The 15,236-nt window shown below is 38.3% G+C and overlaps 1 protein-coding gene across 3 annotated transcripts in view; it reads left to right on the forward strand.

The window, feature by feature from the left end:
- Positions 1 to 15,236, forward strand: part of MACF1 (microtubule actin crosslinking factor 1) — a 402,972-nt gene that overhangs the window by 340,956 nt on the left and 46,780 nt on the right. The window contains exons 56-67 of one of the 3 annotated variants that reach the window (NM_012090.5): positions 2,333 to 2,492; positions 2,839 to 3,165; positions 4,120 to 4,204; positions 4,705 to 4,946; positions 5,580 to 5,786; positions 7,413 to 7,532; positions 7,926 to 8,033; positions 9,292 to 9,510; positions 10,436 to 10,639; positions 11,360 to 11,368; positions 12,655 to 12,886; positions 14,152 to 14,378. In NM_012090.5, the coding sequence (NP_036222.3) occupies positions 2,333 to 2,492; positions 2,839 to 3,165; positions 4,120 to 4,204; positions 4,705 to 4,946; positions 5,580 to 5,786; positions 7,413 to 7,532; positions 7,926 to 8,033; positions 9,292 to 9,510; positions 10,436 to 10,639; positions 11,360 to 11,368; positions 12,655 to 12,886; positions 14,152 to 14,378 (2,140 nt within the window). The remainder of the gene's footprint in view (positions 1 to 2,332; positions 2,493 to 2,838; positions 3,166 to 4,119; positions 4,205 to 4,704; positions 4,947 to 5,579; positions 5,787 to 7,412; positions 7,533 to 7,925; positions 8,034 to 9,291; positions 9,511 to 10,435; positions 10,640 to 11,359; positions 11,369 to 12,654; positions 12,887 to 14,151; positions 14,379 to 15,236) is intronic. The other 2 variants (NM_001394062.1, NM_001397473.1) reach the window with 2 other exon arrangements.

Raw genomic sequence — 15,236 nt, forward strand, 5'->3', positions numbered from 1 at the left:
TAGGCTTAAAACCTCGACTCCATTTTTACTTTTCTTTTTTTAATTTCTCCTTTGTGCCCACATCGATCAGCATGCTAAATTCTGTCTATTTTACTTTACAGTGTCTTTCCTGTCCATCTGTTTCTCTAATTCCCACTCTCCCCTCAGTTCATGACTTACGAGCTCTCACTAGGTGTATAGAGATAGCTTCTTCACTAATCACTCTACCACTAACCCTGGGGCCTTCCCCTTCCCATCCCCCAGCTGCAGATGAACCTTTCTGAAATAAGCCTTTAATCATATCTTTTCAAGCTCAGAGATATTTAATTGACTCCCTGTTAGAATAAAACCTTTAGATTATGAGGCTGACACACTGCCTGCCGTGCTAAGAAGGTGCTTAAAATAAAATATAAACTCTTTAACACACCATTCAAAGCCCTCTATTTGACCCTAACCTACCTTTCTTAGCTTCTACTATTCTTCTCACTCCTTAATATTATAGCTGAAGTAAACTATATTCTGTTCTTTAATATCTTCTGACAATGTCCTAACCCTGTGTCTTATTTTATGGGTTATAATACATCTTTCATGAAATGCTTTTGTCCAGCTCTCTCTCTTCTATAAAACTTACCTTTATTCCTCAATCATGGAATAATTTTTCCTGCCTCTTCACTGCCATAACTCTTTATCTGTACCTTGTATTATGATCATTATTTTATGTACTTACCTTCCTGGTCCATAAACTCCTTAAAGTCATGGTTTGTTTATCTAATGCATATTTTTATGACTCTTTCCTTCTACTTTACTTGTTTCCATCCTCCTAGCCTAATATAGTTTCTGGGCCAATATTTTAAATAGAAACAAATAACAAGAGTAGATATTTGATGCTTCTAAATTATTTTTAGCTCTTCTCCCTAAAAATACCTTTAATCTTATTACAATAAATTCTTCAAATTTTCAGATTCCAAAATCAAATGAGTAAGAAAGACATAAAAATTAGAGGCAATTTTTAAAAAATGAAATTCAAATTTAATAATAATTTTTAATATTGTATGTTTTAGTTGCATTACTTGAAGATATATTTTGAAGGCTGGCATAAACAAACTAGGAAAGAAAGTTTTAGACTTAGATTGCCACTTAAAAAATATGTTTTTCTTTATATTCAAACATAATTGAATTTCCAGTAATCAAAATGCCAACTTTTTTTATTTAAACCACTTCTTATTAAAATAACTTTGTCAGGGCATAACTAGCATAGGACCTGGCGTAAATTAGGTCTTCAGTAAAGGTTTGCTGAACTTAAGTGCATCATATACTCCCAGGCCTCTTCAAATGCCATATCTTAGTCTGTTTTTAGTAATTCAAAGACAACATTATGACCTTTCATTATTAATCTGCATGCTAATACAGTTCTGTGGTTGTTTTCTTGTCTGTTCCTTGTCAGGCTATCTCCAATATCCAGACTTCCTCCTCACTTTGTAATTTGCTGCTTTTATTTTATAGAGTAAAACAAACCACAGGTACTTTGGAAAGTACATCTCTTAGCACTTCTCTGGTCTCAGTGACAGTCATGTATCCCAGGAAAAGCCAAGCTTAGTTATGGATCTTATATTAAATAAGAGTTAAGATTCCAAGTGAGCTATAAAGTCTGTAGTTTTTTTTGTTTGGTTTTTTTTTGGGGGGGGTGCTTTTTGTGTTGGCAAATTCAGCCAGCGTGAGGTTTTTTGTTTGTTTCTTTTTTGTTTTTTTGCCTTAAATCTGGATTCAAAGTTATGTTCTGGGGCTTGAAATTACCAGAAGCCTGACTGGATTTTGGGGAGTTGGGGAGGGAGTTCTAGTTCATAGGCAATATACAGTCTTTACTCTTCAGATATCTTCACTCATAAATGAAGGTAGTAGTGACAGAGAGAATGAAAACAGACAACTTTTTGCCTCCTTTAAACCTTATTTTGGTCAGATGTTCAGGTGATATATATACTACATTCTGTTTTGATTTGTGTTAAATAAGGAGAACATTAGAAGATTTGATTCTACTGTTGCTACTCACCAGGTGATTGGACAAATCTTTCTTTAAGCCTTCTGACTGAACTTTCTCTTTTATAATAGGGGGATAATTATTCTTTTATAATGGGGGATAATTATTCTGTCCACCTTACAAGGTTATGACAGAATGAGAATAAGGTTAATGGTGTGAAATCCTTTAAAACATCGAAATGCTACATAACGTGTGTTCTGTTTACTATTGGTATTTAAACTATACCTGGAAAAGACTATTCTTTTACTGAGTATAGTACTATTACCAGTTTTAATGTGACTTTTCTTCCTGAGCAGCTTGTTCTATATATTTGTGTAGGCAAAAACAGCTGGAAGACATCCTGGTTCTGGCCAAACAGTTCCATGAGACAGCTGAGCCTATTTCTGACTTCTTATCTGTCACAGAGAAAAAGCTTGCTAACTCAGAACCTGTTGGCACTCAGACTGCCAAAATACAGCAGCAGATCATTCGGCACAAGGTAGGGAGTGGTTACAGTAAATGAAAATAGAAAACTGGAATTAGAAATCCTAGAAATGAGTAAACTGCCTGCAGCATTCTAGAGGATGTGTGTTTTGTGGGTTTAACTTAAAATATGGTCAGATTATTAATTGGAAAAGTCACATTCTTGAAATACAAATAGAAATTGACTGATAGGCTACCACCGGAATAAACAGCTTTTGTTCCCAATTTTTATATTATTTTTGCCTTTCAGTCGGTGAGTTTTTTAATTGTTTAATTTGTTGTATCATTTGTTATTCATCATTTTGTGTTTACTTTTCATTTATTTTGTTTCTGTTATTCATTTTTTCCATCTGGATTTCCAGGCTCTGGAAGAAGACATAGAAAACCATGCAACAGATGTGCACCAGGCAGTCAAAATTGGGCAGTCCCTCTCCTCCCTGACATCTCCTGCAGAACAGGGTGTGCTGTCAGAAAAGATAGACTCATTGCAGGCCCGATACAGTGAAATTCAAGACCGCTGTTGTCGGAAGGCAGCCCTACTTGACCAAGCTCTGTCTAATGCTAGGCTGTTTGGGGAGGATGAGGTGGAGGTGCTCAACTGGCTGGCTGAGGTTGAGGACAAGCTCAGTTCAGTGTTCGTAAAGGATTTCAAACAGGATGTCCTGCACAGGCAGCATGCTGACCACCTGGTATTCATGTTTCCATTTTTATTGGTTATGTTATTCTGTTATTTTGTTATTTTGATTCATGTTTCTCTTCATTTATTTTTTTTTCTTCATTACAAACACTTCAACTTTATTTTATACACAAGTGCATAGTTAGTGGACTTGATGCTGACTGCTAATCTGTTTTTGGATGAGTCCATGGAAATACTTATATTTAACAAGTTAAATCAGTAATTCTAGAAGATGGTACAGGGTATATAGTCAGGGGCCATCTGAACTCCAACTCATGATTTACATTATTAGGTGATGGGTCACTAAGATTCTATTTGAGCAGTTTTATGAAAGATAATGTGCTTTAACAAAACCAGATCTATCTGTGTAGTGCCCAGGATTTGATCATACAGTTAAAAAACTTTTAGGATATTTCTGGATTTGTTCAAATTCCGGGGATTCTGTGTCATCTTAATAGAAGAGTTTGCCTTTTTCATTTCATTTTTATGAAATCTGTTTGGGAGAGTAAAAATAGGTAATTTTTCTAATAGTCTGATTCTTTTGCTTCGTCAACTTTAAATATGAAGAGAGTTTTTAACCAGGATTCTGATTTAAGTCAGTCTGTTCTTACTGAATTTCTTCTCTTGAACTTTCTGTTTATTCCTTATTTTGGACACAGTAGACAATTTTGCTCAATTTCACTTCTGCCTTTCTTGGGTTCAGGTTTGGTACCAATAATTGGTAAAGCTGATGTAATTCTAAGTTTTTCTCATCCAGCGCATAGGAAAGCTTGCCTATAGGTATCTGATTTAATTATTTTGAATAGTCAATGGGCTAACCAAGGAGAAGATGAGGGGATCAAATATCTGATGTTTAAATTAAACTAGTATTCATCTCTTTACTTTAAATTTGATCTCTTAAAGGTCTCGCATTTTGTTTCATTTGTAGTGCCACAGTTTCAGGATTAATGGTATTCTTTCCTTTCAGGCTTTAAATGAAGAAATTGTTAATAGAAAGAAGAATGTAGATCAAGCTATTAAAAATGGTCAGGCTCTTCTAAAACAAACCACAGGTACTTTGAAAAGTGTGTCTCTTAGCACCCCTATGGTCTCAAAGACAATTATGTACCCAAGGAAAGGAGTTCCCTGCCTTAGCCTCTTCTTTATGTATATATGAGAAGCTTAGTATTCACTGATTGTATTCCCTACTGTGCTCCAGAAGGTTGTTTCCTGCTAAATCTTTTGAAAACTAAGTTATCTCACATCTGGTTATAGATGATGATTTCTCCTCTCCTTCAGTATCTTGAATGCCAACATGCACTGAAAGGTGCTGGAAACATCTAGAAACACTTGACGCTGAACTCAGATTTTAATAATTCAGAAGTGGCTTCTTTTATCCAGTGGAAAGTTTATTTTATTTCCCATTTGCCCTTAGTATGGGATAGGTGAAATCATTACCACAGAGAGAGAGAGAGCGTCTATGAAATTAAAGCTCTGATTTGAAGAAAGGGGATCAGAGACTCCTCATTCCTAGGTCTCTTAAATATGAGTAATTGTGTGCTATCTTCCATAGGTGAGGAGGTGTTACTTATCCAGGAAAAACTAGATGGTATAAAGACTCGTTACGCAGACATCACAGTTACTAGCTCCAAGGCCCTCAGAACTTTAGAGCAAGCCCGGCAGCTGGCCACCAAGTTCCAGTCTACTTATGAGGAACTGACCGGGTGGCTGAGGGAGGTGGAGGAGGAGCTGGCAACCAGTGGAGGACAGTCTCCCACAGGGGAACAGATACCCCAGTTTCAGCAGAGACAGAAGGTGAGCTGTTACTTTACCATAAAAAGAAAAAAAGGCTTCCTCTTTGTCAGAATCCTTAAGTTTTATCAACCTTTACCTTAAATATAAACTAAAAATATGTGCCCCCTTTCTTGTTTACTCATGGACAGTAAGATTTGACATAAAGACATATACGTTACACATATGTTATGAAGAAGAAAGAAGTTGAATCAAGTTTACTTTGTAACATTTTAACCTCTATTATTTATTCTCTAAAGAGTGCTTCATGGTTTTATTTGATTTCTCTGCAGGATCTAGTATAGTTCTAGATGCATAGAAATATTGTATAGGTACTTGTTAGGTTAAATACTGAGCCTTTGGTTAAAGCATTATTTATCATTTCTGTTGAAGTAAGGAGATGAAAGAAGTATTAGTTGTTTTACCCAGAGACAATGTGGCTCAAAAAGTCTTACAGGCAGTTCTAAGCAAGCAACAATGAAGTCTAAAGTCAGGCTTCAGAATGATTGAAAAATCTGAGATGAGAAAAAAATAACTGAAGGAAGGAGGTCAGAGTCCTGCTGGGATGTGTGGTAGAGATAGCAATTTCCACCCAGCACAGTTGCTGATGTGCTTTATTTAGCAAGGTATGGCCTGAAAACTCTTTTCCCTCCTTAGGAATTAAAGAAGGAGGTCATGGAGCACAGGCTGGTGTTGGACACAGTGAATGAGGTGAGCCGTGCTCTCTTAGAGCTGGTGCCCTGGAGAGCCAGAGAAGGGCTGGATAAACTTGTGTCCGATGCTAACGAGCAGTACAAACTAGTCAGTGACACTATTGGACAAAGGGTGGATGAAATTGATGCTGCTATTCAGAGATCACAACAGGTAATGCTTATAATACCTCTGCATTAATATTTTAGACAGTATTGATGTGTGAGATACAGTACTATGACCCACATAAATACAGACTCAGAAATAAGAATGGGCTCAAGCTAAATCTGGTGGAATAAATATGTTTCATTGATGGGAAATGATTGGGTAGAAGTTTGTGAGGATGGATCCAGAATTTGACCAAAATACTTGACCCCTTTGAGTAGAGAAGTACTTGGAGAAGAGTCTACATGAGGCCTTTTCTTAGCTAATGCCCTGCTAAGAAGGCTGATGGTGATGGGAGTAGATAATATCTAGATTCAAAAGGTCCAAATGCACCACAATCTTAGTTTGACATAATTAACTCTCTTAGCATTAGATGGAAGAGGGGGAAGGAATTACTATCAAATATGCAAACCAAAATAGCAGAGCTATCTAAAATAGAACCTTCTCAGTAAACACAGGTGTCATATTTCCCTTGATCTTTTTTCCTTCCTACTTTCTGGAAAAAAATCATTTGTTCTTTTGTGTAGCTGGATACACACCTCTTAATGTGCCGTAGTACAAAAAATAAGTTAATATAACTCCTTAGGATCATAGTGATGAACATATGCTTTTTGAATCACACAGAAATTTGCTCTGAGTCCAGGTATATCCCCAGTGTGTCTTTAGAGTTATCCCTTATCTTGGCCAGATATTTCAATATGAAATGTATTGTGCTTGGGAGAAGCGTATTTTTAAATGTAAGTGTATATTGGCCAAGTTGAAGAGGAAGAGATAAAAGACTGGAGAGGTCAGGCATAGGAGACTGGGCTCACACCTGTAGTCCCAGCACTTTGGGAGGCTAAGGCAGGAGAATCCCTTGAGGCCAAGAGTTCAAGACCAGCCTGGGCAACATAACAAGACACATCTCTACAGAAATATTTAAAAATTAGCCGATCATGGTGGCAATTGCCTGTGTAGTCCTAGCTATTAGAGAGGCTGAGGTGAAAGGATCACTCGCGCCTAGGAGTTAGAGCCTGCAGTGAGCTATGATTGTGCTACTGCACTCCAGCCTGGGCAACAGAATCAGACCCTGTCTCTGAGGGGGCAGGGAAGGATGGAGGATTGGGGAGCCCTCATGAAACTAACAGTCACGTAGAACATGTTCTTGGTTTTCGTTATTACATAACCATTTAAAAATGTGTTGTTCTTTTGGGGTCTTATGCTGCTTCAGCTAAGCGGGCACTTCCGAGTTAACTTGACTCATCCGTCTACTGCCATATTAGGTTTATATTTAAACATCTGACTAAACCTACTACTGTTCCATGTCTGGGTAGGAAAGAGCAATGGCAGGAAGAGTGTAGTCTCATAAAAACACTGATTAGAGGCATCTTTCTTTTGAAGGGGATTGATATCTGTTATTTCTAGCTGTAGAAACTGAGTTCTGTAACTTACTTTAAAGAAATTGAAATGTGGTCAGTTTTAACTTGTTTGCATCTTGATTTGTGATTTTATGAAATTCTTCCCAGTTTTGACTCTACTTTGTGAGATATAAACTGTATTACTGAAAATCCAGGCCTTGCTTTGTTGAATAAATTGCAGTTATGTGGAGACTTGGCTGTATATAATTTGTTTATTTTTCTTTAATACGTCTATTAGTATGAGCAAGCTGCCGATGCAGAACTAGCTTGGGTTGCTGAAACAAAACGGAAACTGATGGCTCTGGGTCCAATTCGCCTGGAACAGGACCAGACCACAGCTCAGCTTCAGGTACAGAAGGTACGTGCCCACTCTTTCCTGAGCTAATAGAATCATCAGTAACTTAGAGTGACTAGGAGAGTTTCTGACTATCCCATGTCAAGTGGAATAATTTAGTGGCATGATGGTAAATAGAAATTAATTTTCTATGTATTTGGTTGAGATGAGGAAGAATTTTTTTTTTTGCTTTGTGAGAAAGGAAAAATAGGCCCATTAATCCATAATTAGCAATTTCCTTGATAGAAATTTTTGTAAGCTACTAAAAAGATAAGCTAGAGAAGATGTTGGATAGGCAAAGTGTCAAACTGTATAAGAACAATTTTTGATGTGGCTTTTTCATAGATTTTGTCTTAACCTTTAGTAATAACAGGAAAAGGGTCTTTTTACTTCTTAACTACAGTTTACTTTTCAAAGGCTTTCTCCATTGACATTATTCGACACAAAGATTCAATGGATGAACTCTTCAGTCACCGTAGTGAAATCTTTGGCACATGTGGGGAGGAGCAAAAAACTGTATTACAGGTGAATTACATTTATTTATTTGCCATATTGTTCCTGTTTTTATCATGGTGAATTAGAAGCACAATTGTGAAATGATGGTTTAAGGCTTTTTCCCTCCTGGACTTTTCTTATGATTGTTATTAAAGTCCAGCTTGATGTTCTGGGGAATTCAGAATCTTAACCCTGTGTCCACAAATGTTTAAAACAGCCATCCTATATAATGTGAAATATATTGCAAATCCATCTTCTTTATAACAGGGGAATTGCTACTTATCCTCACTCCACAGGGAGCAAGCTTTGAGTTACTTTTCAAGGTATTTATGGTAGATTTTTTTCAGAACCATATGCAGATATTAATTCCTTCATTATATCCTTCTAAAAGGTCGTACCTAGTTTTAAAAGGATTGGTCAAGATGGTTTGTAGACAAGTTTTTTCATTTCGTTTTGTTTTGTTTCATAAAGGATATGTTTAAGCACAGTTTCCTCAGAAATATTCATAAACTGACTGAGCTACTCATCCTAAACATTTGAAGCATAAATGGCAGGTTTCTGGAGACTTTTTTTTAATCAGAAGAAAAATGACAGGCAAAACTTGATAGGCAAAGATTCCATCGTAGCCCCTTAGATGTTCAGTTTTAAACTGATCCATTATAATGGTATATTGGCCAGGCACGGTGGCTCACGCCTGTAATCCCAGCACATTGGGAGGCCAAGGTGGGCAGATTACCTGAGGTCAGGAGTTCGAGACCAGCCTGGCCAACATGGAGAAACCCTGTCTCTACTAAAAATACAAAAATTAGCTGGATGTGGCAGTGGGAACCTGTAATCCCAGCTACTTGGGAAGCTGAGGCAGGAGAATCCCTTGAACCCAGGAGGCGGAGGTTACAGTGAGCTGAGATCGCGCCAGTGCACTCCAGCCTAGGTGACAGAGTGAGACTCTGTCTCAAAAACATATATAATAATAATAATGCTATATCTAAGGTTGTGTATCATTACTGAAAGGTTAATTTTGCTGTGTTTTTCTTATACTATTTTACTGCTTTTTAAACTTTTATCTTTTAAAAATTATAGAAATAAAATATATGTATGATAGGAAAATTAGAAAATTTCAGATAAGTATGAAGAAGAAAATAAAAATCACTTGTAATCTTTACTGATATTTTAAAATAATTTAGTTATGTATTCTTTTAGACTTTTTAATGTATATATACCTACTTTTTTTCTTAAGAGTTTATAATAGTAATACTTATCCTTTTTTTTTTTTTTTTTGCTCACATAGGAAAAGACAGAGTCTCTAATACAGCAATATGAAGCCATTAGCCTACTCAATTCAGAGCGTTATGCCCGCCTAGAGCGGGCCCAGGTCTTAGTAAACCAGTTTTGGGAAACTTATGAAGAGCTCAGCCCCTGGATTGAGGAAACTCGGGCACTAATAGCACAGTTACCCTCTCCAGCCATTGATCATGAGCAGCTCAGGCAGCAACAAGAGGAAATGAGGGTAAGGAGCATGCCAAGTTTCATTTTATTGTTCTAAAATGGTCTCTATAATTTATTTAAAAACAACATTTGTTAGTGTCTATAGGTGCAAGTTCTGTGTTACGAAGTTAATTCTTAATCAGTTAGAATTCCTTTCATAATACATAATCTGAATTATTTCCTTGGTTGTTTAATATCAATTGATTAAACACTAAGATTATAGAGATGTCGAGAACCTTAGAATGACAGAACTAAAGAAAGAACTCACTAAAAATCAATGGAATTTAAAATATTTCCGGGGATAATAGGGTGTTGTTACACTCAAGGTATGGTTGGACAGTACTTTCTACTTAGTTAGGCACCAACTGGAGTGAAAGCCATGAGGTAATGTCAAAAAACATTTGCTCTGTATAGTTAATGACACTTCAAAATGTTTATTTCTGGTTTATGGCTTGTGCTTATTGCTATTCTTATAAGTGGAAGTGTATAAACTGGACGTAGTCAGCAGTAAAGTCAAGGAGTGGTTGGATTGCCAAAAATGTTGCTATTCATAGCTTATCCAGCTTGGTATCTCAGTCTGGGGAGGTAGACAATTATTAAACCATGTAGAGTAAAATAGAGTACATAGAAGTACTTATGATTACAGAAGAGTGTGGAGTAGACTTGTATGACACAGCTGGTAGGGGAAGAGAAGAGAGGATGTTTCCAGGAAGGCTGCTAGGGTGATGAGACATCAGAACTGACTTTCAAAAATTAAATTGGGTAATGTCAGAACCTAAGACTTAGGTGTTTTTCTGTTCCCACACAAATGGTGAGATGCTGGGCCTTGCTGGTTTTTAACAATTTTGTTTGTTCCTCTTAAAGTTGATATTAGCTCTGATCAAAGTATCTAAATACATAAACTGGTATAAAAGTACTCATTATGGTTTAATTCTTTTTTTACCTAGCAATTAAGGGAATCTATTGCTGAACACAAACCTCATATTGACAAACTACTAAAGATAGGCCCACAACTAAAGGAATTAAACCCTGAGGAAGGGGAAATGGTGGAAGAAAAATACCAGAAAGCAGAAAACATGTATGCCCAAATAAAGGAGGAGGTGCGCCAGCGAGCCCTGGCTCTGGATGAAGCCGTGTCCCAGTCCACACAGGTATGTGTGTGTCTGACACTCATAACCTTGAATTGTCTACTGTTCTAAACAAGAGGTCTCTGTATCAGGTATGTCTCTGTGCTCAGGAATGTCCAGAGCAGCATGTTAATACGTGATCGGTAGATAGAACAGAAAGCTTAGCCTATCTTCATTTTTATTCCAAGGAACATTGGCATACTGACATTCTAAGGAGAGTGAAATGAGTCTTGGCTGGTATATATTGTCTGTTGATGGTTTCTCTGAAAACTTTATGTTGTGATGATCCTTTAGCAGATGATTTTGGATAAATTTACCTTGCAGATTCAAAAGCAGTGACTGCCTCAAAAAAGTACTTATTGAACCTGTTACTTTTTTGCTTTAGAGCAACAGCACATTAGTTTTCTTAAGCAACCAGCTAACTCATAGTTTAAGATGCTTGAGTAAGGAGTAGTAAGAGCCAAAGAGAAGCATAAACCAGCAGAGGGATTTAAAGCATGTAACTACATACTTTCAACTAATATATTACTCTTAGTGGTACTGTTGTCATGTCTGGGTATTTTATTCCTATGTTTAGTCAATATTCTTGGTTAATATTTGTACTTACTCAAGTTTCTCCCCCCACCTTCCGTCCCATCTCTCACTCACATTGTGGAATGTGTTACTTTGTGTTGTTGCTGCCTGCTCCTGTCTTCCCCACATCGTCACATTTCATTGTTGTGTTGACCGCGCCCACCATTACAGATTACAGAGGTAAGGTACCCATCCCCATTGGGACTAGGGTGTTCTTATAATGCTGAAAATTGAGGTCATTACCTGTAAGGGAATTTCCCTTAACTTTAGTGGAATAAATTTAATTAGTGCAGTTTATTATGCCAGTTTCATTTGGGGTGGAACCTAGAAGTGAGAGAGTGATGGGAAGTGATGTTGTTAAGGAATCCCACCATGTTTTTTCTATAGGACACTTGAAATTGATAAGCCTTTCTTTAACTAAAACCAGAGTTGGTTTGAGATAGATTTTTCTTAGGAGGCATGCTTATCTGTTTTGCTCTTTTCTCTCCTCTCTGCATCAAATTTTAATGAGAACTTTTCAGTTGTAGTCATGTTATTCAAAGTAACAGAAAAGTGGGAAGGTAATAATTCTTCAAGAATAAGGTTAGATTTGGTCTTCCTTAATTACCTTTCATTATTCCAACGTTTTTTCTCTCTTATTGTTCCATAAGGTGGGTCGTTAAACTGCATGCCATGTTACTTTTAAACTACAAGTCGTGTAGCATATTAAGTTTCCCATCCATTTACACAGCTGGTGGAGGGCATCTAACTTGTTGGTCTAGTCTGTTGCATGCAACTGTCATCTCAGATGTTGACATACTGACTCTCAGCAGTTTCATAGTCTTGTCCCTTTTTTGTTACATTAGTTGGAATAGGAGAAATATTGTGGCAGCACTAAAGATTTGAATTGGTTTCTAGTATATTCATATATTTAGATTCTTAAAATAAATATTGGCTTTTTTTTTTTTTAATGGGCCAGCTCTGTATATGCCCAAAACAGTTTTGTTGTTGTTTTTTTCTTTTTCTTTTTTTTTTCTTTTAGACAAAGTCTTACTCTGTCGCCCAGGCTGGAGTGCAGTGGTGCTATCTCAGCTCACTGCAACCTCTGCCTCTCGGGTTCAAGTGATTGTCATGCCTCAGCCTCCCTAGTAGCTGGGACTACGGGCGTGCGCCACCACACCCGGCTAATTTTTTGTATTTTTAGTAGGGACGGCGTTTCACCATGTTGGCCAGGCTGGTCTTGAACTCCTGACCTCAGGTGATCCACACACCTCAGCCTCCCAAAGTGCTGGGATTACAGGTGTGAGCCACCACCCCTGGCCCAAAACAGTTTCTTAACCAAACTCAACACTTAATAGCCATTGGGCTAAACTGAGCACAGGTTATCCTAAACAGTAGTAGGATAATATCTTGTCCTTATTCCCTAACACTTCTCCAAGAAGAGTGATGAGGTATGCTGTGATGGTAATGTTCCAACATTTGTTTAGTTTCATGATAAAATTGAGCCTATGTTGGAGACACTGGAGAATCTTTCCTCTCGCCTGCGTATGCCACCACTGATCCCTGCTGAAGTAGACAAGATCAGAGAGTGCATCAGTGACAATAAGAGTGCCACCGTGGAGCTAGAAAAACTGCAGCCATCCTTTGAGGCCTTGAAGCGCCGTGGAGAGGAGCTTATTGGACGATCTCAGGGAGCAGACAAGGATCTGGCTGCAAAAGGTGCTTGATGATTGTCATTATTTTTAAAAATCAACAGAATAAATTCTAGGCTGTGGTTATCTTCAGCATCCCACCAGATTTATTTATTTCTTTGAATGTAAAGGCAGTCCCCAGTAATGAGTATTCCAGAAAGTCACTGGAAAATCATTTGGAATTCAGAACACATTTCGCCATTGAAACAAGGTTACAATTGGTAGTTAGATTCCCAGGCCAGGAAACAAAAGCTCCTTTAACCCCTAACGTGAGTAAACTACAGTATCAATAGTGGGTAGAACATAGCTACCTTTTGTAACACTTTCCATGGGAAACATACAAGTTTAACACAGAACACTGGAAACAAGAGTTCTCATCTTAGCCCTTTTGTAAGTTAGGGGTTTTGTATCTTAGCACTACCTTTATAGTAGATGATAGCTCATTTCTGGATTACTTCTGTGATCCCTGTATGTGGGATACCAATGTAAGAGGAAAACGCTAGTATATAAATAATAGGCCGGAGCCACCCGCAGTGGCTCATGCCTATAATCCCAGCACTTTGGGAGGCTGAGGTGGGCAGATCACTTGAGGCCAGGAGTTCGAGACCAGCCTGGCCAACATAGTGAAATTTTGTAAAAATACAAGAATTAGCTGGGTGTGGTGGCATGCGCCTGTAATCCCAGCAACTCAGGAGGCTGAGGCAGGAGAATCGCTTGAACCTGGGAGGCAGAGGTTGCAGTGAGCCAAGATCACACCACTGCACTCCAGCCTGGGTGACAGAGTGAAATTCCCTCTCTCTAAAAAAAGAAATAAATAATAGGCCGGGTGTGGTGGCTCATGCTGATAATCCAAGCACTTTGGGAGGCCGAGGCGGGTGGATCACCTGAGGTCAGGAGTTCGAGACCAGCCTGGCCAACATGGTGAAACCCCGACTCTACCAAAAATACAAAAATTAGCCAGGCATGGTGGCACATGCCTGTTATCCTAGCTACTTGGGAGGCTGAGGCAGGAGAATCTCTGGAACCTGGGAGGCAGAGGTTGCAGTGAGCCAAGATTGCGCCACTGCACTCCAGCCTGGGCAACAGGAGCAAGACTCTGTCTCCAAAAAAAAAAAAAAGAAAAAGAAATAATAGTAAAACTAAAATAGAAAATTATCCTTTAGTTATAAATGCTTAGCATTTTTTTAAAAAATAGTTTCATTGAAAAGGTCAGAGTTACATGGAATTTCTGAATAGACCAATTTCAGGCTCTTCAGAAAGTCCTATTCATATCTCTTTTTTTAACCTCCTCAGAAATCCAGGATAAATTGGATCAAATGGTATTCTTCTGGGAGGACATCAAAGCTCGGGCTGAAGAACGAGAAATCAAATTTCTTGATGTCCTTGAATTAGCAGAGAAGTTCTGGTATGACATGGCAGCTCTCCTGACCACCATCAAAGACACCCAGGATATTGTCCATGACTTGGAAAGCCCAGGCATTGATCCTTCCATCATCAAACAACAGGTTGAAGCTGCTGAGGTAAGAAGGAAACAAAACCCTTTTTCTTAGGTGTCTGTCCTCTAGAAAAAGCACTTTATCAAATCAAAGTGAGGTATGTTAACTGCTTAGCCAGGCTGAGTACCTTAAAGGTTTTTGTTTTTGTTTTTGTTTTTTGCTCTTGTCCCCAAGGCTGGAGTGCAATGGCATGATCTTGACTCACTGCAACCTCCGCCTTCCAGGTTCAAGTGGTTCTCCTGCCTCAGCCTCTTGAATAGCTGGGATTACAGGCATGTGCCACCATGCCTGGCTAATTTTTGTATTTTTAGTAGAGACAGGGTTTCCCCATGTTGACCAGAGTGGTTCTGAACTCCTGACCTCAGGTGATCCACCCACCTTGGCCTCCCAAAGTGCTGGGATTACAGGCGTGAGCCACCACTCCAGGCCTAAAGTTTCTTTTTAAGTGAGACATTCTCCAATTGAAAAAAACCTGCTCATTATATTACATTTCTTAAATGTAGAAAAATAGATGGTAGAAAATAAAAATCAATTTTGGACTCATTATCTAGAGATAACAGTTGTTACATTGACATACTTTTTTCTAGTTTTTGGTGCTATTTTTCTTTTCTTTTCTTTTCTTTTCTTTTCTTTTCTTTTTTTTTTTTTTTTTTGGAGACAGGGTCTCACTGGGTCACCCAGGCTGGATTGCAGTGGCATGATCTTGGTTCACTGCAGCATCCACCTCCCGGGCTCAAGCAATCCAGCCACCTCAGCTTCCCTAGTAGCTGGGTCATATGCCACCATGCCTGGCTAATTTTTTTATGTTTTATAGAGATGGGGTTTCACCATGTTGCCCAGGCTTGTCCAGAACTCCTGGGCTCAAGCAATCCTCCAGCCTCG

Source organism: Homo sapiens, chromosome 1 (assembly GCF_000001405.40).
Source record: "Homo sapiens chromosome 1, GRCh38.p14 Primary Assembly".
Classification (NCBI taxonomy): Eukaryota; Metazoa; Chordata; class Mammalia; order Primates; family Hominidae; genus Homo; species Homo sapiens.